The sequence below is a fragment of the Homo sapiens genome, chromosome 1 (assembly GCF_000001405.40).
Source record: "Homo sapiens chromosome 1, GRCh38.p14 Primary Assembly".
Classification (NCBI taxonomy): Eukaryota; Metazoa; Chordata; class Mammalia; order Primates; family Hominidae; genus Homo; species Homo sapiens.
In genome coordinates, this window is record NC_000001.11 from 14,420,190 (window position 1) to 14,445,359 (window position 25,170).

The following is a 25,170-nucleotide window of genomic DNA, read 5'->3' on the forward strand; positions in this document are numbered from 1 at the left end:
GCGTTTACAAACCTTGAGCTAGACACAGAGTGCTGATTGGTGCATTTACCATCCTCTAGCTAGACATAAAAGTTCTCCAAGTCCCCACCAGATTAGCTAGATACAGAGTGCTGATTAGTGCACCCACAAACCTTGAGCTAGACACAGGGTGCTGATTGGTGCATTTACAAACCTTGAGCTAGGCGTAAATAAATTCTCCAAGTACCCACCCGACTCAGGGGCCCAGCTGGCTTCACCTAGTGGATTCCCCCACCGGAGCCACGGGGGGAGCTGCCCGCAAGTCCCGCACCATGCACCCACACTCCTCAGCCCTTGGTCCTCAGCCCTTGGGCAGTCAGTGGGACCAGGTGCCGCGGAGCAAGGGGTGCGCTCGTCGGGGAGGCTTGGGCAGCTCAGGAGCCCACGGCAGGAGTGGGGAGGCTCAGGCATGGCCCGCTGCAGGTCTGGAGCCCTGCCATGCCGGGAGGCAGTTGAGGCCTGGCGAGAATTCGAGTGCAGCGCCTGCAGGCCGTCTCTGCTGGGGGACCTGGCGCACCCTTTGCAGCTGTTGGCCCAGGTGCTAAGCCCCTCACTGCCCGGGGCCGGCGGCACCAGCCGGCCACTCCCGAGTGCGGGGCCCACCGAGCCCATCCCACCCAGAACTCAAGCTGGCCTGGGAGCGCTGCGCACAGCCCCGGTTGCCGCCCGCACCTCTCCCTCCACACCTCCCCTCCACACCTCCCCTCCACACCTCCCCGCAAGCAGAGGGAGCCAGCTCCGGCCTCCGCCAGCCCAGAGAGGGGGCTCCCACAGTGCAGCGGTGGGCTGAAGGGCTCCTCAAGCGCGGCCAGAGTGGGCGCCGAGGCCAAGGAGGCGTGGAGAGCGAGAGAGGGCTGCCAGCACGCTGCCCTCTCTCAGGAATTGGTCTTAAACACTATGCCTTAGGTTATAGCTAGAGCTACTACTACATCAATTAAAAGGATGAAAATAGTGTGTAATCAATTTGTATCAATGATAAATAATTGTTTGCCCTCATTATTCAGGGAAGAGCTCCCAGTGAGTTTTAAAATATTCCTTGGAGTGATGGGGGGAATGGTTCTTGAATAGTAGAGCATTCCTAGCACCCCATTCAGAATTTGGTTATTGACTCTGTATTATCTTACATTCTTCTTTTGGGATGGGTTTTCTTGGGGGTGCTATGCTCTATCCTCCAACAGTAGCTTTGAAGTCTCCATCCAAGAAGGACACGAGGAAAGCCACATTGGGAGAAAACACATCCCTTGATCCCTGATTAGGGCTTGGAATGTACATTCCCATAAAGACCCTACTATGCACAGTTGATTGTTCCCTTAATGTTACCACATTAGGACAGTGGCAAACTGTGATTCTGAGACATTGTGGGTTCAATAAAGCATGTTTCCCAAACCAAAGTCTTAGAAACATAAGCCGACTTATGTTCCAAACTTCTATCCACAAGTTTGGAAAATTCTGGGTTAAATACTGTTGAACAAGCGTCTTTATTCAAAACTTCACAGAACCTGATTTTGAGAGTGGGCATGTGACTGCCCAAAAGGAATCTCCCAAACTCTTTTTACCACAAAATTTCTCTCGGAGTTGGCCAAGCTCACCTTTCAAAACCCTGACATAGGCCTTAGTCCCCTCCCCTCCCCCGGCCTCTTTCACTTACTACACTGGGTCCTGGGGAAACTCTTCCCCTTGTCTGAATAACCAACTACACTGACTGCCCAATGAGCTAGTAAATGCAACAAAGTAACAAATATATCCAACAGTGCATGGGCTCATCTTCCACGCCAATGTCAATATTTTGCAAAGTGAATTTTGTCCACTCCAGTGACTGAGATTTGGAAAGTCTGTCTTGGATATTCCTGATGCACATTGGTGAAGGTTCTGAGAAATTTCAGCAGCAAAGGAGCCTGGTCAGCCAATGTGAACCAAGAAGAAAATAGGCAAATCGCTATTTTACCTTTGTTATTTTAAACTTAAATTGAATTCTGTGTTTTGGCTTTGGTTGGTGAGTTTCATATTCTGGGTTCTGATGAGATGTGATCTGAGTGTGCTTCAGAGAACATCCGTGGGCTTCCGTGTTTACTCAGCTATCTGCCCTAAAAACACTTGCTCAGCAGCATGACGACATAGATTAAATCCTTGCAACAAGCCCAGTGGGGAAGAGCTTCCCCTTTTCCTTCAATAGCACAGGCAAACTACGTAGGTAAAGTATGAGGCTGGCCCAGAACAAAACGCTACGCAGCGCATAAGACACTTCCAGGGTCAACCTGCACCACCCAGCCCAATCTTAAGTGATGTTCACTAAGCAGTCATTTGTATTTTATTTCTCTTACTACCTCTTCCATTGCACTTAGAATGGAAGGAAACAAAAAGAAAAGTCTCATTGTGTGGCTGGATTTGGTGCAGCTGCCCCCTGAAGGGTTGAAAACAGACGATGCTTTATATTCAAATACAGTTATATGATATCTAGGTAACATCCTTGCATCCAGAAGATATTAAATATAGAAAGGCTCATCCCTGGTAAACTTCTCTTTTGTGGTCCAGAAGGCAGGTGGGTTTCTAAGAGATGGCAGCTCATCTTTCTGGGGGCAATGTGAACATTCTTAGACCATTGTCTGGGTCTCAGATTCTAATCCCCAAGGCTTTCCTTATGGTTCTAGTAGAAGAATAATTTCCCTATGGAAGCTCATTTGATTATATTCTTCAGCTCTATTTGACTTCTAACAAGGAAACTCAGATTGAGGCTTCTTTGCCTAAGGGCTGACTTGTAGCAGCCCTTTGTCCACAGCAATAGTTTATTAACTTTTAAGAACAGTGAAAACTTTTGCTCAAATTATCACTTTTATAAACAGATAAAGAGGAAGCTAGTCTCATAGCAACTTGTTGGAAGATCCGAAGGCCCTGTCTACTTAGCACCTGCCCCTCACAATGCACTTCTTTGGAACCCTGGTGTTCCTTGGAACAGAATTTGAGAAACATTGTCTTGATGACAAGGCTCTGGACTGAGAGACAGGAAGCTTGGGTTTCATCCTAGCTTGACCACAAACCCTAGGCTGAAAATTGGTCAGATTTAAAAGCCTGCAGTCCCTTTATTTTCTTCTTTGTAAACTAGAGGAAAACAGCATGTACTCTATTTTTCAGGGGGTCATCACGAGCTACCAGATATACTAAAATAGCAGCATGGTGATTTTATACTTTTTATTGTGTTTTCAAATCTGTTAATGTATTTTCTTGTAAAAATATCCCTGAAACGGCACAGGGCAAATACTAGTAAGTATGAAACTCTTTGGAGAAGATTCCAATGCTATCCAGAACCCAGCTTTTGAAGACCTCAGCTCCCCACACACAGTACATGCAATAGCCGTGATAATACCAGGTCTAGAGGATGCCATGTATTGAGCACTTACTATGGATCAAGCACTACTGGATCCAAATCCTCTTCCCAGTACATAGTCACTCTGTAACCATACCTAGTGGATTGATCACTTTGGAATCCAATTCCTCCCTGATTTTCAGTCCATGTGGCTCAGATGGAACTTCCCTTAAAGACCTCACTTCCACATGGACCAGTGACCCGGGCCTGGACATCAAAACTCTCTCCTGGGACTTTTGCTGGAACTTTTGGGGAAGATACAAATTCTCCTCTGAGAAGGCAGTCACTAGAGACAATGTAAGGCTGGGACCGTCCACATCAGCTTTGCCTATAAAGGAAAAGACACTGACTGAGAATTAAGCCCAACAGAGGGAAATAAGCCAAATACAGATGGGACAGGCAGAGAGCTGGGCACGTAACTTGAGCCCCTGGATACATATGTGCCTTAAGCCCATCCTGGACACTTCTCTGACCCAATACAACAAATTCCACTTGCTTGTACTAGTTCCAGTTGAGTTTCTAACACAATCCACAGAGTCCCAACTCACATAGTAAACTTGGGCAAGTAGCTTAGCCTCTCAAAGCCTCAGCTTTCTTTTCTAGAAAATGAGAATGAGGATACACACCTCACAGATTGTCATGAAGATAAAAGGAGAAAATGACCCAAAGACCACATTCAGCAAATCGTAGTCTCATGATCATTACACTTCACGTAAGTTGCTTCATTTAATCCTCTCCATGGCTGAGCTCAGATGAGCACAGATGAGACAACCGTGGCAGGGAGAAATTAGGCCCTTCGTCTAAAGTCTACAGCAAGTAACAGCACCAGGGTATAAGCCCAGATCTGATGCCATAGTTCAGGCACTTTTCACCAATGTACACAGCTCCCCAGCAAGCGAGTGCCTTCTCCTGCAAGACTAAGCTCACCCACACATACGCAGAGCCACCATGTACAGCTGCACAGGTTGTCCACTGCACGGCCATTCACATGGACACTGACATAAATGGCACCCTCTAGAGTTGCCACAACTTGCCCCACACACCATCGTCCTAAAAGCTAGAAATGCCCACGAAAGGGACCTTGTAAGGACAGATACCAGGAAGGGATTCTAGATGTTTACATTGCAAAGAACCCATTTTCTCATCTAACTACGCTTCAACAGCTTCTGCCAGTTATTCCTATCTCCTACATCTTTAGCCAACGCCTCAAGCCATTCCTATAAAAAGCTCCTAAGCTGTAATTCCAGAGAAAAGAAGGGCCAGATAGATTCCCAGGCCCCATCTGCTTGCTGAGCCAATGCCAACCTGGTCTCTGAGCTGGTAAATATACTTTGGTTTAACATAAGCTATTCTAATATCATAGCTAAATCATCTTATATTCCTTGGCTTTCTCCAGCAAGGAAGAAAGTTATGCAAAAGCACATAATGAAAAACATAAGTCACTTTAACAAAACAGAGCTTGAAGATACCTGGCCCAATGAGTTTCTGGGGCTCACTGAAGTTGCATTGTTCAGTGGGATGCAGAGAGGAGGTTGGGAGGGGAGAGTGATTCGTGGCCTCAGTGTCTTCATCAGAGGCCAACCTGAACCCAGCTGGGCAGGGGCTGGCCAAGGCAGGCCCATGTTCTCACATTGCATTTGCAATGCCTGGCTTTAGGGTCAGGCCATGGGAGACAGAGCCTGCCCCTACATCTTACCAAGCCTCAGGAAGCTCCTGCCATAGCTGGGGGCATCTGGAACACTGGTTGGTCTTCCCATCTCCTGAGTAAAGGCTCCAGCTGCAGTGTCCTCTTGCCACCCCAGAAGCCAGCTTACCAAGAAGAAGGTTCATTGTGAGTTCAAGAGTCACCATGGAATCTCATCCTGCAGAGTCCCAGGAAAACCACTGCCATGCCCTCACATGTCCCAGCTGGGGCTCTAGAAGATACAACAATAGTGCAGTAAGATAAGACTGTGATATCCACTCAGCCCTGGCAACTGGTTATGCATGGGCTCTTGAATCAGACAAACTTGGACTTGAATCCCGGTCTCACCCCCACTAATTAATTCATCCATGGACACATTCCACCAAGTGTCCGTGAATGCATGAATGTTGCTCTGAAACTGCGGTCAGCTGGGGTCTCAGTTTTCTGCCCTGAGCTGATTGCTCCACCTGCATTATCCCACTTGGTCCTCCCAGTGGCCCTGGTGAGGGGGACATTATTTGTCCCATTTTATAGGTAAGGAGACTGAGACTCAGAAGTTGCAGGATTTATCCCAGGTCACCTGGCTAGTGGGGGTGGAAATGAGATTTGAGTCCAAGTTTGTCTGATTCGAGAGCCCAGGTGCACTCAACACATTCATCACCATCTCCCCTGCCCATCCCCCAACTTTCTAGAACATTCTTTTATCTGGATTTGGCAGGAGGACTGCAATTGCAGCGTAAATTGACAGTCTCTGTTCTGAACACAGTGACAACTCAGCTTACTCAGAGTAAAGGCCTCACAGGGCTGCCTGGGCCCCCCGGCCTCCTCTCCTTTCCTTTCATCCTGCCTGAATCAGCTCAGCCTCACTGGCCTTTAAGCTCTTCCTCAGACACACCAAGCACCTTCTCATTTCATGGTTTTGCATCTTCTGTTATCTCTTTCTTGAATGTTCTTTCCCTAGACATGCAACTGGCTCCCATAATGACCTCCTTCAGGGCTCAGCTCAAATGTCACCTCTGCAGAAAGGCCTGCCCTGACCACTCACCCCACATTCACTCTGAGACCCTTACCCTCCTTGCATTCCTGCCTCACATGTATCACCACAGGACTTACCTATGTGTTTATTGTCTTCTCCCCTCAGCCCCGTTAGATTGTACACTTCATGAGGGCAGAGACTTTCTCTGGTTAATTCATAACTCTATGCCCAGACTCTAGAACACTGCCATGGTACATGGAATTGGTTATTAAGTGTTCATGAATGAAAGAATGCTGCTCTGAGACCCCAGCTGGCCCAACTGCAGTTGCCCTACTCCATGGAACATCAGTGATACTTTGGTACCCAAAAACCATCTTGTGGCCACACTGAGGTGATGCTTTCTGATACCCAACCTGAGACTGAGACTTCTGTGCTTAAGCCTGCAGGGCCCGGGTAGTCATGAGGGAGACAAGTGAACTAGAAAGCCAAATGTCCAGCCCCTCCCGCTCCATCCAGTGCCTCCCAAGCTGAGAAGGTCAGAGCTAGGTCAGGAACAGGGAGTCAGCCCCTTCTCTTTTAGAATACCTGGGCTGCTTCTGATCACACCAACCCTGACTTCAGGGACTGCTGCTCTGAGCCCTCCTGTCCCTTTGTTTCCTTTAACTTTTCCCTTTCACATCCTTGGATTCTTCTATCACTCACCCAGCAATTGTGAACAAGGTACCTACTGTACACCAGGCACAGAGCTAGGTACTGGAGATGCATGGTGAGCAAACAGACTTGACGCTTCCTGTTATGGGGAAGACTGGCATTAACCCAGCAATCTCACAAGACCTGTAAAATTGTTTACTTTCCAGAGGGCTGAGAAGGGAAGCCCCAAGGCAGAACTGACCCAGTTTTCTAATCCAGAGATCAGGAAATGCTTTTCTAAGGAAGGGACATTCAGGGTAGGACCTCAAATGTCTGCAGGTGTCCTCAAGGCTGGGGTTCATGGTGTCGGTACACCCTTCACCTCTGGCTCCCCCATTTATTATGATATGACCACAAGCAAGTGACTTAAGCTCTCTTGGCTTCAGTTTTCTCATCTGTAAACTGGGGATAATAATAGTCCTTGCCTTCTTATGTTATGACAGTGTTTAAATGAGATAATGTACATGAAACTTTCACAAGATTGCCTAATATGGAGTAGACATTATTGTAATTGTTTTTTGTAGAAGTTATCCTACCTCACTCAGCCTTTTGGCCAAAAGTAAAGGAAAGTAAAAAACAAATACCTATAATTTAAACACACACACACACACACACAGTATACATGTAGACATGTATACTAAATTAAAGGTACATATGTGTACACATATGTGTATACATGTATACTGTGTGTGTGTATATATATGGTATATATGTGCACACATGTTAGTAAAAATACCAAGTATAATCCATATAGAATATAGGGTCACTATGAAGTGACATTTAGAATTTAAGGAGAATGTGGTTGGGTGTGAGTTTGCCGCCCACCAAGCAAGTCCATGCTCACCACAAAGCAAAATTATACAAGTTCTTTAGTCCCCTGATTGTACTTAGTTTCTAGGTTCTCATTAATGTAAATTATTACTGAAATTTATAATGGACTACCTGTAAATGAACTCCAGACTATGTTCTTCCTAATGCTTTCCATGGCAACAACTATAGCCGAAGAGTTCCAGTATGGATTTCTTTCAGGCTGACGATTGGCAACAGCTCTACTCAATGATTCTATCAATGTTTGGCCAGGTTGCTTGAGCTGGAATCCATCAAGTCTGAATGAGGGCCCTGGCAAGGTTATAGTCACATTCTATGTAAGTCTCACATTCTGATTTATGTCAGGTTCCTAAATGCTGTACATGGTAGCTCATCTTAATTAAAGACTGTCAGGAAGAATAAATTCATTTGGTGAGACGAAGTTAGCACATTCTCTGCTCTTAATTCCTGCACATTCCATGACTCTTTCAGGTGCTAGCTCAGGAGTTTGGGTTACTAAATGAGCTCAGAGAGGCCCGTGCTTTCAATCAAGGGAGTACATATGGTGACCTGGATGATTATAGGCATTCTGTAGGATATACCCTCCCCATTCAAATGTACTTTTTCTCAGCAGAAATCTCAACCCTTTCTAGACAGTCCCTGTGATTTCTTGACATTAAAAAAGGTAAAGGAGGTATATAAAAAATAGATATATTCAATCAGATCAAACAAGAATTTGATACAAATAATTCATTATACTGAGCTCAAACTGAACCCTACAAAGATCTTTTCTAAAATCTGAAAAGCCTTTAAATTATATGTATTAGTCCATTCTTGTGCTGCTTTGAAGAAATACCTAAGACTGAGTAATTTATAAAGAAAAGAGGTTTAATTGACTCACAGTCCACATGGCTTGGGAAGCCTCAGGAAATTTACAATCATGGTGGAAGGCACCTCTTCACAGAGCGGCAGGAGAGAGAATGAGAACCAAGCTAAGAGGGAAGCCCCTTATAAAACCATCAGATTTTGTGAGAACTCACTCACTATCACGAGAACAGTATGGGGGAAACCACCCCCATGATTCAATTATCTCCACCTGGTCCCTCCCATGACACATGGGGATTATGGGAACTACAATTCAAGATGAGATATGGGTGGGGACACAGCCAAACCATATCGTTTATATATATATATAGGCTTTTCAGGATATATATTATATATAGAACATATATAATGTATAGGCTTTTTAGAACATATGTATTACATATATTCTGGTCCAGTGAATTGGGCCAGGATAGTTTCAGAAAATATCTAAATATCTAGGTCCTTATTGATCTTTGGAATTCATAAGGGAGTTTTTCTCTCCCATCATAATTCAAGGAGGGACCGTGTCATATAAGTTTTATGATCTTTCAGTCAAGCTCTAGAAAATCAGGCTTTAAGTTATAAACACACTAGAGAGAATGGTCATCTCCTAAGAATAGCAGGGTGAAATCCCATCAGCATCTCTGAGGAATGAAGCCCCACAGGGCCCTCCTGGGTCTCCAAACTTTTCTCACACAAAGGGATGAGGGCCCTATTGGCAAAAACATTCACACACCGTGGCTAAGTTCTCCCCTTTTCTCTTGTTCTGGCCAGGCAGAAAATGGTCAGTCTTTTGAGTCAGTTGAACCTGGGTTCGAAATCCTGCTTGGCATTGAACTAGCTGTCGGACACTCAGCAAAACTATTCTCTGAAGGTTTGGCTTACTCACCAGTTTCAAAAGAGTTAGGGCCTCTTTCCAAAGGGCCGGGAAGTGGCTTAGATGGGATACACTATGGCAGGCACAGTCTCTGAGAAGCAGAAGGCATTCACAAAAGGGGAGCGTCTTTCCCTTTCCAAAATCAATAAACATAATAGTAATGACAGTGCAACCATGGAAACAAATGGAAAGAGCCATTGTTTGCATTTGAGGAATTACTGGGTACCTGTCTTTGGGCTTTATGTCATGTAATACTCACCCCAGTGACCTTTAGGGGAGATGTCACCGTCGTCGTCGTCATCATCATCGTCATCATCCCGACGTCATCGTTCCTATTGAGAAATGAGACCACTGAGGTTTGGGGAGGTGAACTGACTTCCCAAGTTCTTACAATGAACAGCAACAGGGCTGGGTGGGACATAAATCCATTTCACTTAGAGTAAAAGCCAAATTCTTTATTATGCTCCACATGATCCTGTCCCTGCATCTCCTGACCTCTTCCCCCATCCCTCTCCCGATCACTCACTCCAGCCACACTGGCTTGGCTGTTCCTCAAACACACCAGGCAGCCTCCAACTCCAGGGCCTTTGCAGAGGTCATTCCTTCTGCCTGGAACACTTTCCCCCAAACGACCGCATGGCTTACTTCAAGAATGTGCTCAAATGTCATCTTTTCAAGGAATCTTTTCGTGACTTTCCTGTTTAACATTCTAACACTGTCCACCTCCACCACCTCTGCCCTGCAACCAAAAAAAAAAAAAAAAAACTCTTTATCTTTGCCTACTTTTTTTTCCTTTGTCCATATCACCTTTTAACTTACAATAGAATTAACACATGTTTGCTGTGTGTGTGTTGAGCCCTGCTAGATGAGAAGTTCCTCCAGATTCACGAATGTACCCCCAACACCTAGAACAGAGTTTGACATAAAATACACACTTAATAAAGATTTATCGAAAGAAATTAGCCAAGGGTCTGGCTTTCAGGGTCTTAACCACACCACCCTGCCCCTGGGTCCTATTGATACTGACATCTTTTATGCACGATATGATTTTTTTATTCACACAGAAGTCCAGACAACAAGTGGCTCTTTTGGAATCTCTCAGTGTCCAGCATCACAATAATGAATAAGAGGTGGACAGGATAACCACTGTTTTCTGGGGCTTATAGCTGGGTTGAGAAGACACACAAGCCAGACAGAGGATAATCACATGTTCCCTTGACGGTGGTGTGGGACAGAACCTAAGTCCTGCAGGACTCACACCAGGGTGCTGAGCACAAGCAGCCCAGTTGAGAAGTGACTTCACAGAGAGGACAGGTATCGAGCCATAGCTTGAAGGCATTGCAGTTGGTGGAAAGGAGGGCAAAACCCATTGCTGACTGAGGAGTGCTCAGCAAAGCCACAAAGGCTGGAATGAGCAAGAGGCTAGAAAGCTCATCTTCCCATCCTCACATCTCAGCTCTGTCGCCACAGCCTCCTTAGGGAAGACTCCTGGAACCCATGACCTCAGACAAGCTCCACTGTTATAGACCCAGAAAATTATGTCCCTTTTCTCTGGAGAAGTTATCATGGTTTGTAATTATAAGTGTGCAATAAATGCTTATTGAGTAATTGAATGAATACATTAATGAATGGGTGACCAAATGAATACGCATATTGAAGAACAAAGTATATAATGATAGACAAGCATATCTGAATTTGGCAATAATATTATGAGTGGGGTAAATAGAAGGTATGGGCCACTTAGCATCCACCTGACATTGGCCATAGTGCTCGACAATTTCTCATTTAATCCTCAGAGTGGCCATTAGAGATGGGCATTTGGGGATCCATTTTATAATTGATAAAATTAGTTAATTTATCCAAGCCCAAATAGCCAATAAGTGTGGAGTCAACATTTTTACTCAAGTTTTTGGCTGTTCCAAGCCCCTACTTGGAGGATAAAAGGGCCCTAAGTAGAAAAGATGAGGGCAGATAATGGGGACCTGTGATGGCTAATGTTAGATGTCCACTTGCTTGAATTGAAGAATGCCTAGATAGCTGGTAAAGTATTGTTTCTGGGTGTGTCTCTGAGGGTGTTGACATTTGAGTCGGTGGACTGGGAGAGGAAGACCCACCTTCAGTGTAGGTGGGCACCATCCATTGGCTGCCAGCATTGCTAGAACAAAGCAGGCAGAAGAAGATGGAATAACCTTGCTAGCTGGGTCTTCTGGCTTCCTTCTTCTTCCTGCCTTGAATGCTTGCTTCTGCTCCTGCTGCCCTTGGACATTAGACTCCAGGGTCTTCAGCCTTTGGACTCTGGGACTTGCACCAGTGGCCTCCAGGGGCTCTCAGGCCTTTGCAACAGACTGAAGGCTGCACTGTTGTCTTCCCTGGTTTTGAAGCTTTTGGACTCGGACTGAGACACTACTGCCTTGTCTCTTCCCCAGCTTGCAGACGGCTTATCGTGGGACTGTGTCTTATAATCATGTGAACCAATTCTCCCTAATAAGCTTTCTTTCATATGTACCTGTGTCCTGTTGGTTCTGTCCCTCTGGAGAACCCTGACTAATATAGGAACCAAACATGGTGTGAAGAGTAAGGATCTCCCAGAATTGTGCTAAAATCAAAGACTATGTGACTTTCACACTTCTCATCCTCAACTCTGATCTTTTCCCCGCAAGCCTACTAGCAGCAGGGAGTGATGGAGAAGCAGCTACACACCCTTTAGCTTCCCCAAAGAACAACTTTTTCTAGAAACTATTGAAAATGTGGTAGTACTGCCAGAAGTACGTGAAATTGACTATGTAGATCATGGACCATAAGTCACAGTTCAATTCTGCAACAGTGAAAAATTGTAATTTTTTTCACCAGAATGGAAAAGAAAAGCTATGAGCTCTAGAATATAACTCAACAAGAAACGTCAGTTTAATCACACCAGTCTTCCAGACATGATTCAGTCCACCCAGTCTCACGAGCTTGTCTGCTCCAAGCAACACTGGCACGGTTTCCCTTTGGCAGACAGATATATGGGGTTCCCACTGATGGTTTGTACTGTCCTTTAGTACTTGACGAATCATTGCGATTGGCTGTGGCTTCTTTCTTTTTTATAATTTTTTTTTTAATTTTACTTTAAGTTCCGGGATACATGTGCAGAATGTGCAGGTTTGTTATGTAGGTATACATGTGCCATGGTGGTTTGCTGCACCTATCAGCCTGTCATCTAGGTTTTAAGCCCTGCATGCATTAGGTATTTGTCCTAATGTTCTCTCTCCCCTTTCCCCACCCCCAACCCCCAAGAGGTCCCGGTGTGTGTTGTTCCTCTCCGTGTCCCTATGTTCTCATTGTTCAGTTCCCACTTGTAAGTGAGAACATGCGGTGTTTGGTTTTCTGTTCCTGTGTTAGTTTGCTGAGAATGATGGCTTCCAGCTTCATTGATGTCCCTGCAAAGGACATGATCTTATTCTTTTTTATGGCTGCATAGTATTCCATGGTGTATATGTGTGGCTGTGGCTATGTGTGTGTGTGTATGTATATGTATAGTTGTACATATCTGTGTAGGTGGTTGTGCACACACACACACACAAATTATTCAGTCTCTCTGGATCTCATAACACTCCTCCCAAAGCTCTACATATTTATTTTTAATGCTGGTATTCATGGAGGTATCATGAAATAAAATACACATGTTGTAGCATGCAGTCCCATGAGATACGAACATGCAGACACCTGTGACGCCACTCCTGCCAGTCAAGATCCAGAGCTTTTCCCTCTTCCCAGAAAGTTCCTCATGCCCTTTCCAGCCAGCACCCACCCCCCACAGAGACAACTGCTCTCCTGGCTTCTACCACCATAGATTAGTTTTGCCTGTTCTAGAAATGCATTTAAAAATAATTGCATAGTGTGCACTCTTCGGTGCCCAGTTTCTTTCATTCAACATAATATTTTTGAGATTCATCCATTTTTTTTGTGGTTTGCTCTTACAGACTATTTGTGTTCCTCCAAAATGCACGTGTTGAAGCCCTGTGTGATGGTATTAGGAGATGGGGTTTTGAAAGGGAATTCGGGTTAGAGGAAGTCACGAGGGAGGGGCTGTTGTAATGGAATTAGTGCTCTTCTAAAAAGAGACAGCAGGCTGGGCACAGTGGCTCAAGCCTGTAATCCCAGCACTTTGGGAGGCCAAGGCAGGTGGATCACCAGAGGTCAGGAGTTCAAGAGCAGCCTGACCAACATGGCAAATCCCCATCTCTACTAAAAAATACAAAAACTTAGCCAGGTATGGTGGCATGTGCCTGTAATCCCAGCTACTCGGGAGGCTAAGGCAGGAGAATAGCTTGAACCCGGGAGGCGGAGGTTGCAGTGATCAGAGATGGTGTCACTGCACTCCAGCGTGAGCAACTGAGTGAGACTCTGTCTCAAAAACAAAAAAAAAGGAGACAGTGAAGCGTTCTCTCTCTTCCTCTGGATGTGCACATGCACCAGGGAATGGCCACGTGAGGACACAATGCGAAGGAGGCTGTTTGCAAACCAGGAAGGGGGATCTCACCAGAACCTGGCCGTGCTGGCACCCTGATCTTGGATTTTCAACCTCCAGAACTGTTGGAACATAACTTGATGTTTAAGCCACCGGTGCATGGTATTTTGTTGTGGCTGCCCAAATAGATGCATCCATTGGCTCTTTTTTATTTTCAATCCATTGCATTGCCAGACCCCACTAGGATCCATTTATTTATTCTCCTGTTCACAGGCATTTGGATTATTTCCAGTTTGGGGCTATCATGAAAAAAATCCTGTTATGAGGAATCTTGAACTCTTGGTTATTCTTCCTCCGCCCCCTCCCTTCTCTCATGCTGCCACCTCCCTTACCGGTTCAGAATTCAAGTCTGGGTTCTAATGGCCAGCAGCATCCAGCAGAGTTGTGCGGAGCCATGTTTCATGTCTCTTTGGTAGTTTAATGATGGGAATTCTCATGAAGGACAAAACTCAAATGAGGAAGGGGAAATTTACATTGGCATTCAGGGGTAGAACTTGTCCCATGACACATCATTTCTAGTGAATTACACACCCTTCTGCACGGCCAGTTCTTATGCTGTGGAGTCAATTAGACGATGCAGCAGGCCCTGGCTGCTTCATGGTGGATGATGGAGCTGGCTGAGAACACTGGGCCCTGGGGAGCAGGAAGCAGGACCATTTTGGGAAACCTTAGAATGGAGAAGAGTTTTTAGGATACAACTCTGGAAGAGAACTGGCCTCAGTCCACGGAGCAGGGTGCAGCTCAGGCATGACAGGAACATGTGCTGGGACCCCAGCCCAGGACCCTGCCTCCAACGCACCTCCTCTCCATGGGGCACTGTCTGCTTTTCTCACTCCTACATCAGCCACTCGCTCTCGGTGGCCTCCAGCCACTGTTTCCTTCAGAGGAAGTTAGTAAAAGGCACATCCTGCCATTGTTAAACCTCTTTATCCACTGTGCTGCTGACACACTTTGTCTGAGGCTCTGTGCAAAGAGGTCTCATCCTATCCTGAGACGCAGGTGTGTACGAGGCTGTCAGCCCTAGGAAGGCAGCAATCCCACCATCCTTACACCACACCTCAATGGGAAAGAACCTCAGCCAGGGTCTCCTTGATTAAACCCAATTCTATTCTCCTGCCAGTGCAGGTCCCTTGAGTCCTAGCCCTCTGCCCTGTCTGCCCTCCAGCATCGGTGGCGCTCGTGGTCTTCAGAGCTCTGATCCACTGTTCTCCCTGCTTTCCTTATGTCTGCCCAGGTTGGCTGAACTCCATTCTAGGCTGTTTCAACTCTACCCTTGGCCTCCCAGCTGACAGGTGCACGGTGGCCATCCTTTGGCATTTCCACTCTGGCACTCGCTAATGATGAAACTGAATACCCAAGAGCTCTCCTTCAGCCACACATAGGACAGCTAGAGGTGACCAGGAGTTGCCACTCTCAGGAGCCACCCTCAGCCAATGGCAAATGCAAGGAGGAGAATAAACACCCCAGCTCCTTTGACACTAGGGGGCAGCTCAGAGGCATGACCCGCGCCACCTGGCCAGTTTTCCCAGCTGCCCGCAGGGATGTCCTGCTCCTTGATGGACGCTGTATGGGCTGCCTCCCATTCCTTTGCCCCTGCCTTCACCCCCACCACTACCTCCTGGGACCCAATTACACCCAGACCCTGGTCCCCAGGGCTGCTTCTGGGAGCGTGCAGCTGAAGGCAGCAGTTAAGAGCCCTGCTTGAAACTTTGACCTTCGGCAAGATCTTTAAACCGCAGCTACCTCATCTTAGAATGGGGATGATGACAGGGCCTAACGATATCTTCGAATGGGGATGGTGACAGGGCCTAACGATATCTTCGAATGGGGATGGTGACAGGGCCTAATGATATCTTAGAATGGGGATGGTGACAGGGCCTAACGATATCTTAGAATGGGGATGGTGACAGGGCCTAACGATATGGGTGACTCTATGTGGAGCGTTACTGTGTGCTGCCACTGAGTCACTGTGCTTAACACAAACTATGTCAAGGAATTTGAGTCAAATACTGTCACAATGTCCATTCTACAGATGAAGAAAAGGAGATCAAGACCATCCTGGCCAACATGGTGAAACCCCATCTCTACTAAAAATACAAAAAATTAGCCGGGTGTGGTGGCGGGCGCCTGTAATCCCAGCTACTTGGGAGGCTGAGGCAGGAGACTCGCTTGAACCCGGGAGGTGGAGGTTGCAGTGAGCCGAGATCGCGCCATTGCACTCCAGCCTGGGCAAAAAGAGTGAAACTCCAACTCAAAAAAAAGAAAAGAAAATGGAATGCACACACACACAGGATTAGATGACCTACCCACAGTCACTCAGGCAGGAAGTGGTTGAGTCAGAATTAAGTGAATGAGGATGATGATGATGACCATGGCAGTGCTGGTGGTGGTGGTGGTGGTGGAGGAGGAAGTGGCAGCTAGCAATTATTGAGGGATTTCTTTGTGCCAGGCACTGATATGCATTTTCTTGTTTAAACTTTAAAACAATCCCAGTACTTTGAGAGGCCGAGGCAGGCAGATCACCTGAGGTCAGGAGTTCGAGACCAGCCTGGACAACATGGTGAAACCCCGTCTCTACTAAAACTACAAAAATTAGCCAGGTGTGGTGGCAGGCACCTGTAACCCCAGCTACTTGAGAAGCTGAGGCAGGAGGATCACTTGAACCCAGGAGGCAGAAGTTGCAGTGAGCTGAGATTGCACCACTGCACTCCAGCCTGGGCGACAGAGCGAGACTCTGTCTCAAAAAAAAAAAAAAAAAAAAACCTTAAAACAATCCTGAGAGGTAGTTACTAGTATTATTCCCATTTTACAGAGAGGAGAATCAAGGCCCTGAGATGTTAAGTTACTTGGCCAAGGTCCGACAGCTGGTCAGTGGAGCAAAGAGGATTTCACTCAGGTCTGTCTGATTCCAAAGCCTTCTTCTCAAGATACTTTGCATGCACCTCTCCAGCACACTCAGCTGATTGTAGTTCATTTTATTATCACTTTTTAAAAGTCCTGTTTCCCTGCCTGACACTTCAGCTTCTTTTACCAACTACCCTGGATCCAGACCTTTTGTCCTCCAGAGGAAATAGATAAAAACTGTGTCTCATTCTCCTCTTGTGAAGCTGGTGCTGAAAACACTGAAGTTCCCTTGATGTGTCCCAGTTAGATCCTGCATGGAAATTCAGTGAGTCAGAGCCATGTGTCTCTTCTAGATAAAACCATGTCAGTTTGTGATCTGAGAACCACTCCCCTCATTTCTCAAAGGAACCCTGACTCCCACTCATCCCCACATCCCACAGCTGGGGGCTCCAGCTCACTGCCGCTCTTAACTCCTAAGACTGGGGCATATTTACAGCAATGAGGAGCATTTTCAGAACACAGTCGATGAAACGCGCATGTTGAAGAGCTCAGCTTCCCTTTCAAGTCCTCGCTGAGGCTGGTGCACAATTTTCAACAATCACGAGAAATGATGCTTTATGCTGGACAAAGAGAATTAGACAGTGAGACCTGCGTCTTTGTTCTCGCTCTTTCTCACCTCGCCCCTGGCAGTCAGAAACAATGCATTGTAAAAATGCTTGTCCAATTTTTCCAACAGGATCAATTTGCTGTACTTTTATTAAAAGAAAAAAAGGTGGGAGCATTGTCAAACATCCTCCCTCTCCTCTCCCTTCCCCTGCCTCCACCTCTCAGAATCCGTGCCCCTGCCAGGAGCTGCAGTCGCTGCAGCCCGTGGGTCGGACATGAGAAGCCGGGAGGCTCTGCATGCTGAGAGCCGCGTGCAGTTGGCACATTGCTGGACCAGGTTTCAAAGACATGCACGGTACCTCCCCCGTGTATGTTTCTACCCTGGCTATTTAAAGGAAGTCAAAGAGGGCAGCATTTGAAGTGACAGCAACAAAGAAAATGAGAAAGAAAAAGGAGGAGGAGGAGGAGCTGCCATCATCCCATCCAGAGATGGGATGACATGTTCCCTTTTTCTCATGTCCTCTAAAAGGTGGTAGCTGTATTGGTGAACTTCTGAAAGCAACAAGCCAGCTCTCATCCCAGTTTTGCCTCCCTTTTGGGTTTCCCTTTTCTCTCCTTCTGCCACCAGTTAAACTTCAAGAAAGGTCAAAAAGTTATTTCCCTAAAGCCAAAAAAAAAAAAAAAAAGATCTGAGCAACACCACGTGCCCTGCTTCTCTGTTTCTGTTCATCCCTTTGCAGATGCCCTGGATGGTCTCTGAGCACAGTCCTGTGGGTATAGGCTTACATCAAATTACTCAACACAGATATTTACCAAGTGCCTGCCAGGTGCCCAGTGCTGTTCCCAATGCTGGGGATATGTCAATGAGCAAAACACGCTAAACAAACATCCCTGCCCTCAGGAGGCTGACTTTCTGGTGTCGGGAGAAGGGGAATCAGCAATAAGCAAGACATATGACATGTCAGATGGGGACAAATCTTAGTGGAAAAGAGAGGGCAGAATAAGGGGACAGGGAACGGGGCCGGCCAGGAAAGATTCATGTGGAGGCAAGAGAGTAAGCCATCAGGTATCTGGGGGAAGAACATTCTAGACATCAAGACACAGGGAGCAGCCAGTGCAAAGGCCCTGGGGCAGGAGTGTGGGAAATGGGAAATGGCAAGGAGGCCAGAGTGTGGTAAACACAAACAGCACGTGGTATGAGCAGCAATGAGTAGGAGACCAGATGGGACAAGTGAGAGTGTTGTGGGCACCTGTCATGGAGGGCTTGTCAGCCACTGGAAGGGTTTTGGCTTCTATTCTGAGTGGAATTTTCTCTTTACCTTGTGAAATGAATGAGAAATTACCATAGGAGTCAGGGAGGGGCTCACGATGAGCTTCCTAAAAGTCTTCCAAAGTTCCTCGTGGCTGATAGGCTAAAGTAGAAGTTTCCAGTTTCCTCCGGTACCTGCTGTTTCCCTATGTAAGCCCTTAGTGCTGTGAAGTCTTCCACCTCTTCTAACAGGTCTTCTTCTATTTTCACTCCCTTAGCAAATTCACCCAGTCTTGGGTATTTATTGCGTCTCCATTCTAACAACTGCCCATTGTAAATACCTAGTCCAGACTCATCTTCTAAACTCCAGGCTCTTACAGCCAACTGTCTACTCAGTGCTCTACTGGGATTTCCAATAAATATCACACACACAAAATATCCAAAACTGAACTCATCGTTTTTCTCCACACCCAAAACCTGCCCTGCTCACAGTGTCTTCTTCTCAGAAGATGCTGACCACAGATTTCCAGCTGCACAGGCCTGGTCATCATCCTTCCTCCTTCTCTTTTGTATTTTTCCATGCTCCCTATGTGATCCATCAGCAAGTTCTGTTGGCTCTGCATTCAAAATACCAATGCACTGAGCACTTCTCACCACCTCCTCTGCTGCCCTGATCTGAGCCACCATTAGTGATTGTTGCTTTGAAAACTATAACTGCCTCCTAACAGAGTTAGGAGTTTTTACCTACTTAGACCCCCTCCTCAATATAGAAGCCAGAATGTCTCTTCTCTGCTCAAACTCTCCATAGCTCCCCATTCCACTTGGAGTAAAAGCTAAAGTCTCTAAATTTGCTGTTCACTTAGAACTTTTTGCAGTGATAGGAACGTTCTAGATGTACACTGTCCAGTATGGTAGCCACTGGCCACAGGTGGCTACTGAGCACTTAAAATATAACTCATGTGACTAAGGAACTACATTTGCAATTTTGTTTCACGTTAATTAATTTAAATGAAAATAGTCACATGAGGCAGTGGCCGCCATATTGGACAGTGCAGGCCTACAATGCCCAACATGAGTGGGTCCCTTCATAACGCTTTGACCTTTTCTTTTCTCCCCTACCTCTTATAGTTACCCCACATCACCAACGCTGACCTCTCACTGTTTGTTCCTCAAAAGCACAGGCTCTACACTCTGTTGTCTGCTCCTTCTTCCCGGAGGGTCCTTCTTCAGCATGTTTAACATCTCACCTCCTTCAGCGCTTGCCTTTTCAGTTCATCCCAACCACGTCCCACCCCCATCTACTCCCAACCCCACTGTTCTGGCTCTACTTTTTTCTTTCTCACTGCACCTCTCCCCCTCTAAGAGGTTACATAATCTACTTATTCGTTAGGTCTGTTGTTCTATTATGTCTGTTTGCTAGAACACCAGCTCCACCAAGGTGAACATCTTTATCTGTCTAGTTCACTGCATGTCCCCAGCACTTTAAAGAATTCAGCCACAAAGAAGGTACTCTGTAAAAAATGTGCACTAATGACCATGACTTTGACAAATGCTAACCTTGGCAGGAGGGTGATATTCTAGGTGACGGAGACTGCCCGCAACTCCTCTCCGTAAATTACCTGGCGGAGGATTCCAGTCCTCCGTGGGTTGATAAGAGATGCAGAGCTTTGTACTGACAGCTGGAGAGACTTTGGCAGAAATAAATTCTTTGCTGTAGACATGAAGGATCGGGCGTGTTCTGCTCTCTTCCGGGAACTACCATATTGGATTGTCAATTCCCATTCATATGTCTGTCTTCTGCATTTAGTGACTAGCTCCTCGACAGGAACCCCATCCTACTGAAGCAAGAACCTCTAATGCCTAATTCAGTATATGACACTTTGTGGTTGCTCAAAAAGATGTTTGAGGAATGACTGATTAAGTCATGCTTAGAACTGGCTACATAATTTGCAGGGGTCCCAGTGCAAAATCAAAACATAAGGCCCCTTGTTCAAACATTATTAGGAATTTCAAGGCAGCCACAGCAGAGCATTAAACCAAGCATGGTGCTCTTCTGTTTTGGCAGAGGGGATGCCGTGCATAGGTCACTCATCCATGAAGCCTGTCCTGGTCACCTGTGACATTCTGTGAATTCCCAAGGCACACTACACATGTTAAGTCAGGTGTCCAGGTCTATGACTTAGCAATAGAAAAGGCATCACGTTCAACGCAGATGAGTGACGCAGACAGGTTCTGAGGGCTGGCAGCAACCTTCTTCTCTCCTGCTGTTGTCTCAGTGAACCACAATCACCCCCAGTCCCCAGATGACTAGCACTGATCATATGCAGGACAGAGTATGCAGTCCATTAGGATGTCATGGCCTGTTTGCTTCTCTGAGCACCTGATGGACTGACAGCTCCTGGAGGACAAGGACCAGGCCTCTGAAGCCCCAGGGCCTTGAGCAGCCCCTGGACCATCTTCAGCTCTTAATGATTGTTAAATGACTGGAAGATACATTAATTAAGCTCAGAAAGCAACTTTGGCTTCTTATAGCTTATGATAGGCTTTTTCAAGTCTATCTTCTGAATTAACTTCCATGAGAATACTCATATATATATATATATATATTTTAAACCCTGAAACTAAAGTTATGCTGAACTTCCATTAGCATTATCTGGAACTGGACTTCCCAGTATGTTGTTCCGGGCAGCAGCGGCAGCGGCAGCAGCAGCAGCAGCAGCACCTGGGAACTTGTGAGAAACTCAGATTCTCATGCCCTACCCTGGACCTGCTGAATCAGAAACCCTGGGCGTGAGGCCAGCGACATTTTACAAGTCCTCCAGGTGATTCTGAGGCCCCTCAAGTCTTGAGAGTATTTGTGTCCTAAGGAACAGAGTTTGGAAAGCAGTGACTTATGCTGTTCTCATCAGATACGTTTGGATTTTAACACAAATTAATTGTTTGCAGCTGCAACCCTCAAATGTCTCAGAGGATTAAAATTTTTTGGTGCAATTTTACATAGTGAGTCAAAATCCCATAAAGCTGGCTCATGATGGGGGCATTTATTCAACTCAGCAAGAAGGACATTTGGGTGAGAATGAGAAATAATGGTGTATGCTCACATTAAATATACTTTTTTTAACAAAAAAGAAATTGTTGAAATAAAGCAAAAAGGAGAGTTGGGAGGATAGATGTGTATGGTAAAGGCAACACTGGACCCGTAGCCAGAAGATCTAAGTTAAGTAAGCTTGAGCAAGTCAAGTAACCTTCTGAGCCTTAATTTCTTCACCTAAGAAATTGAGAGACTACCCAGGGCTGCCATGTAGGGTTGAGCAGGTTGTGCACTACACAAGGGAACCCAGCTGAGGAGCAAGTGGGAGCTGAAGTCCAGCTGAGCTAGGCTTTGTCCCCCTGCAGGGGAAGGGACATCTTTCTAATTGACTTAGAAATGCCTTACAAACCAGATGAGGTTCTGACAATACTCCTGCCCACCTCACAGAGTTGCAAGGATCAGAAAAGATGATGATTTAGAAAGCCTCATTTGAAAATTACAAGGTGTTATACAAAGAGAAGATTGGATATGATTTGGATTGCGGCTTTGGCAATATACTTATACTTTTGACCATTTCACTCAGGCTGACCAAATGCCTGATATGCTAATTGGACACAAATCACTACCCATCTACCAAGGCTTGTGCTTTAAAATTGGGGCTCAGAGAAATCAGCAAGACTTTTAGCTGCAGGAACAGGGACTGTCATAGAAGCTCACTATGCCCTTGGAGGTTTTGCTGCTGTATGAGATCGTCACAGAGGACCTGCTGAAACCCCTAACCGTCTATAGCTGTTGCAGCTACACCTTCTCAACCAGCAGGCTTGGGTGCCCAGAAGTAGCTCTGTGGGGACTCAGCTTGTTGCTGCTGGGTTAACCTGGTGGGGTGCACCCGATAGGAAAAGGGTCAGAAGCACCAGAGGCCACAGACACTTGGAGGTGAGCCAGGCCTGGAATTCCATTTATTTTGTGCCTAAGAGGAAAGAAGACCTGTCCTGAAATTTCCATTTGGGGGCTGAAACTTTCTTGTTAGGACACTACAAAAATCCCTGTTGGCCTGATTTCATAAGTGTCAGTACCTAAAACTGAGCACCGAAAGCACTTCCCATAAAAGCAAAAGTGGTCTTGTTCATTGCCGCCTTGTGGCAGTTTAGCCCTACAGCACCAGCCAAGGTGAGCTGGCCCCTGCTCCCCGACACGTGGGTCATTTATAGGATCACCCTTCTCAGGAATGCCACATCTGTTTTCTTTTCACCAGTCTTTCTTTTGGGAACTCATGCACCATTAGCTTGTCTCATTGAGCTGTTTGGGTGAACTTGGCCAATCAGTCAAGTCTTTCTCTGGTCCCCATTTCTCTTTTCTACCTCAACCCACCCTCCTTGAATTACATAACCTTTAAGATTCTTGCAACCGTGAAATGTTTTGGCTCTTCCAAACGTGATCTGGGCTTCCCAAGTAATATATTAAAAGAAAGGTTTTATTTTGTATTGTTTTGTTTTGCAAATCAAAAAATAAATCTCAAGTCTCTCCCGAATGGGCCCCAGTGCTCTGCAAGAACAGCTCCCCAAGGGATTTCTGCACCATGAGATAAGGTGGCTGGCTGCCAGAGGGGCCACTGGATCTTCAAAGGCTGCCTAATTAAGTTCCAGCCAGCAGTCTACCTCTGTGGGCCAGGGGCTCTTGGGAGATAAGACACGAGACACATCCAGAGATGGAGGATGGAGCTTTGCTCCAGTAATGAAATAAATCAAGAGCAGCCCACCTCGTTTGCAAATGGAAATCATTCTAACAGGAGGCCTGCAGTCATCTGAGAGAGCAAGGGAGAGTCTCCATTGGATTGGAGGCCCCTGGCCTTCCTGCCCACTCTCCAGGGCTCTGATGGGGTACAATTATGGTGTTAACTGGGATGGGAAGATAAGGCAAGATGTCATTAATGGAGGAGAGCATGTTTTCTTAATTCCAGAAGCTAATCCCCAGTGACTCACTCCTCTCGAGCCTCCCACAGGGATGTGGAGGCATTAAAGGTGCATTGTTTATTCATGTGACCTAAGTATTTTGCTGCTTTCCTTAGACTTCTGATTACATTCTGTGGTCTTCCTGCTGCCAAAATGGTATAGCAGCATTTTGCTATAATTTTATAGCAGGATTGTTCTCCTTTTTTGCACTTTGAATAAAAGAGTTCCCAGGGCTTCGACTATCCTTCAAGTTTCAATTTTTTTTGTAAATCCTAAGCAGAGCCACCACCTGAGAGATCACAAGATTTGCTCAACTTAGAAGACAGGTAAATTGAAAGTTATAAAACAAGGAATCTGGCCACCTCAACTCCTGTACTAACTGCAGAGTATATATTTTTTCTCATTGAACCTACCTGGATTATAATAGTAGAGTTTTCTTTAATAGACTTCAAAGTATGGGTTCAGACACAGAGTAACTCTCAAACTTTGAATTGCAAAGGCTTTCACTGCAAACCTTCATGAGATGTACATATACCCCTTATGGAAAATGATATCAAAATCCACTGCAGCAGTGATCCTTACCTGATGGTTTCTTTGGTGTCACCCGCCCTCCAACTCGCTCATCTCCAAAATAAACTAAATTCATGATTTTTTTTTTTTTTTTTTTTTTTGAGATGGAATCTCGCTCTTGTCACCCAGGCTGGAGTGCAATGGCACAATCTTGGCTCACCGCAACCTCCACCTCCCAGGTCCAACTGATTCTCCTGCCTCAGCCTCCCGAGTAGCTGGGATTACAGGTTTGAGCCACCTTGCCCGGCTAATTTTGTATTTTTAGTAGAGATGGGGTTTCTCCATGTTGGTCAGGCTGGTCTCAAAACTCCTAACCTCAGGTGATCTGCCCTCCTTGGCCTCCCAAAGTGTTGGGATTACAGGCGTGAGCCACCGCGTCCGGCCCGATTCTTTTTTCTGCTCTATTGGTGCTCGCTTCAATTCACCCCGACGTCTGGGTAGAATCGGGGTTCTTCAGTGGATGCAGCTTGGGTATTTACTCCTGGAGTGCATGAGATTTCTTCAGGACCTCGAAATTTAAATTTGTTCTACACCAAAGCTATCACATGTCTCACCTTTAAATAAGAGCCCAAAACATTTATATATCTAATCACCGCACTAGCCTCATATCTACCCTGAAAACATTAGGTTTTAGTTACAAATAGTTTCATGTTATGGGTTGAATTTGTTCCCCCCAAAATTCACATATTGAAGCCCTAAACTCTGGTACTCAGACTGTGAATTTATTTGAAGAGAAAGAGGTCTTTAATCAAGTTAAAATGAGGTCATTAGGGTGGGCTCTAATCCAACATAACCCGTGTGCTTTTTTTTTTTTTGAGACGGAGTCTTGCTCTGCCACCCAGGCTGGAGTGCAGTGGCGTGATTTTGGTTCACTACAACTTCCGCCTCCCGGGTTCAAGCTATTCTTCTGCCTCAGCCTCCCAAGTAGCTGGGATTACAGGCATGGGCCACCATGCCTGGCTAATTTTTGTGTTTTTAGTAGAGGCGGGGTTTCACCATGTTGGCCAGGCTGGTCTCGAACTCCTGACCTCAGGTGATCCGCCCATCTCAGCCTCCCAAAGTGCTGAGATTACAGGCATGAGCCACTGCACCCGGCCAACTGGTGTGCTTTTAAGAGGAGAAAATGTGGAA

General features: G+C 46.0%; 1 protein-coding gene across 6 annotated transcripts in view, besides 1 other annotated feature; it reads left to right on the forward strand.

Moving 5' to 3' along the window:
• Positions 1-25,170, forward strand: part of KAZN (kazrin, periplakin interacting protein) — a 1,225,220-nt gene that overhangs the window by 527,366 nt on the left and 672,684 nt on the right. The gene's annotated exons all lie outside the window — the stretch shown is intronic.
• Positions 16,979-17,080: a silencer, noted in NCBI's record as "fragment chr1:14763664-14763765 (GRCh37/hg19 assembly coordinates)". NCBI's record gives its function as "represses an EF-1alpha promoter that drives an FKBP-Casp9 reporter gene in an ReSE screen in phorbol 12-myristate 13-acetate-treated (for megakaryocytic differentiation) K562 erythroleukemia cells {active_cell/tissue: K562(+PMA)}" and the evidence as "EXISTENCE:reporter gene assay evidence [ECO:0000049][PMID:32094911]".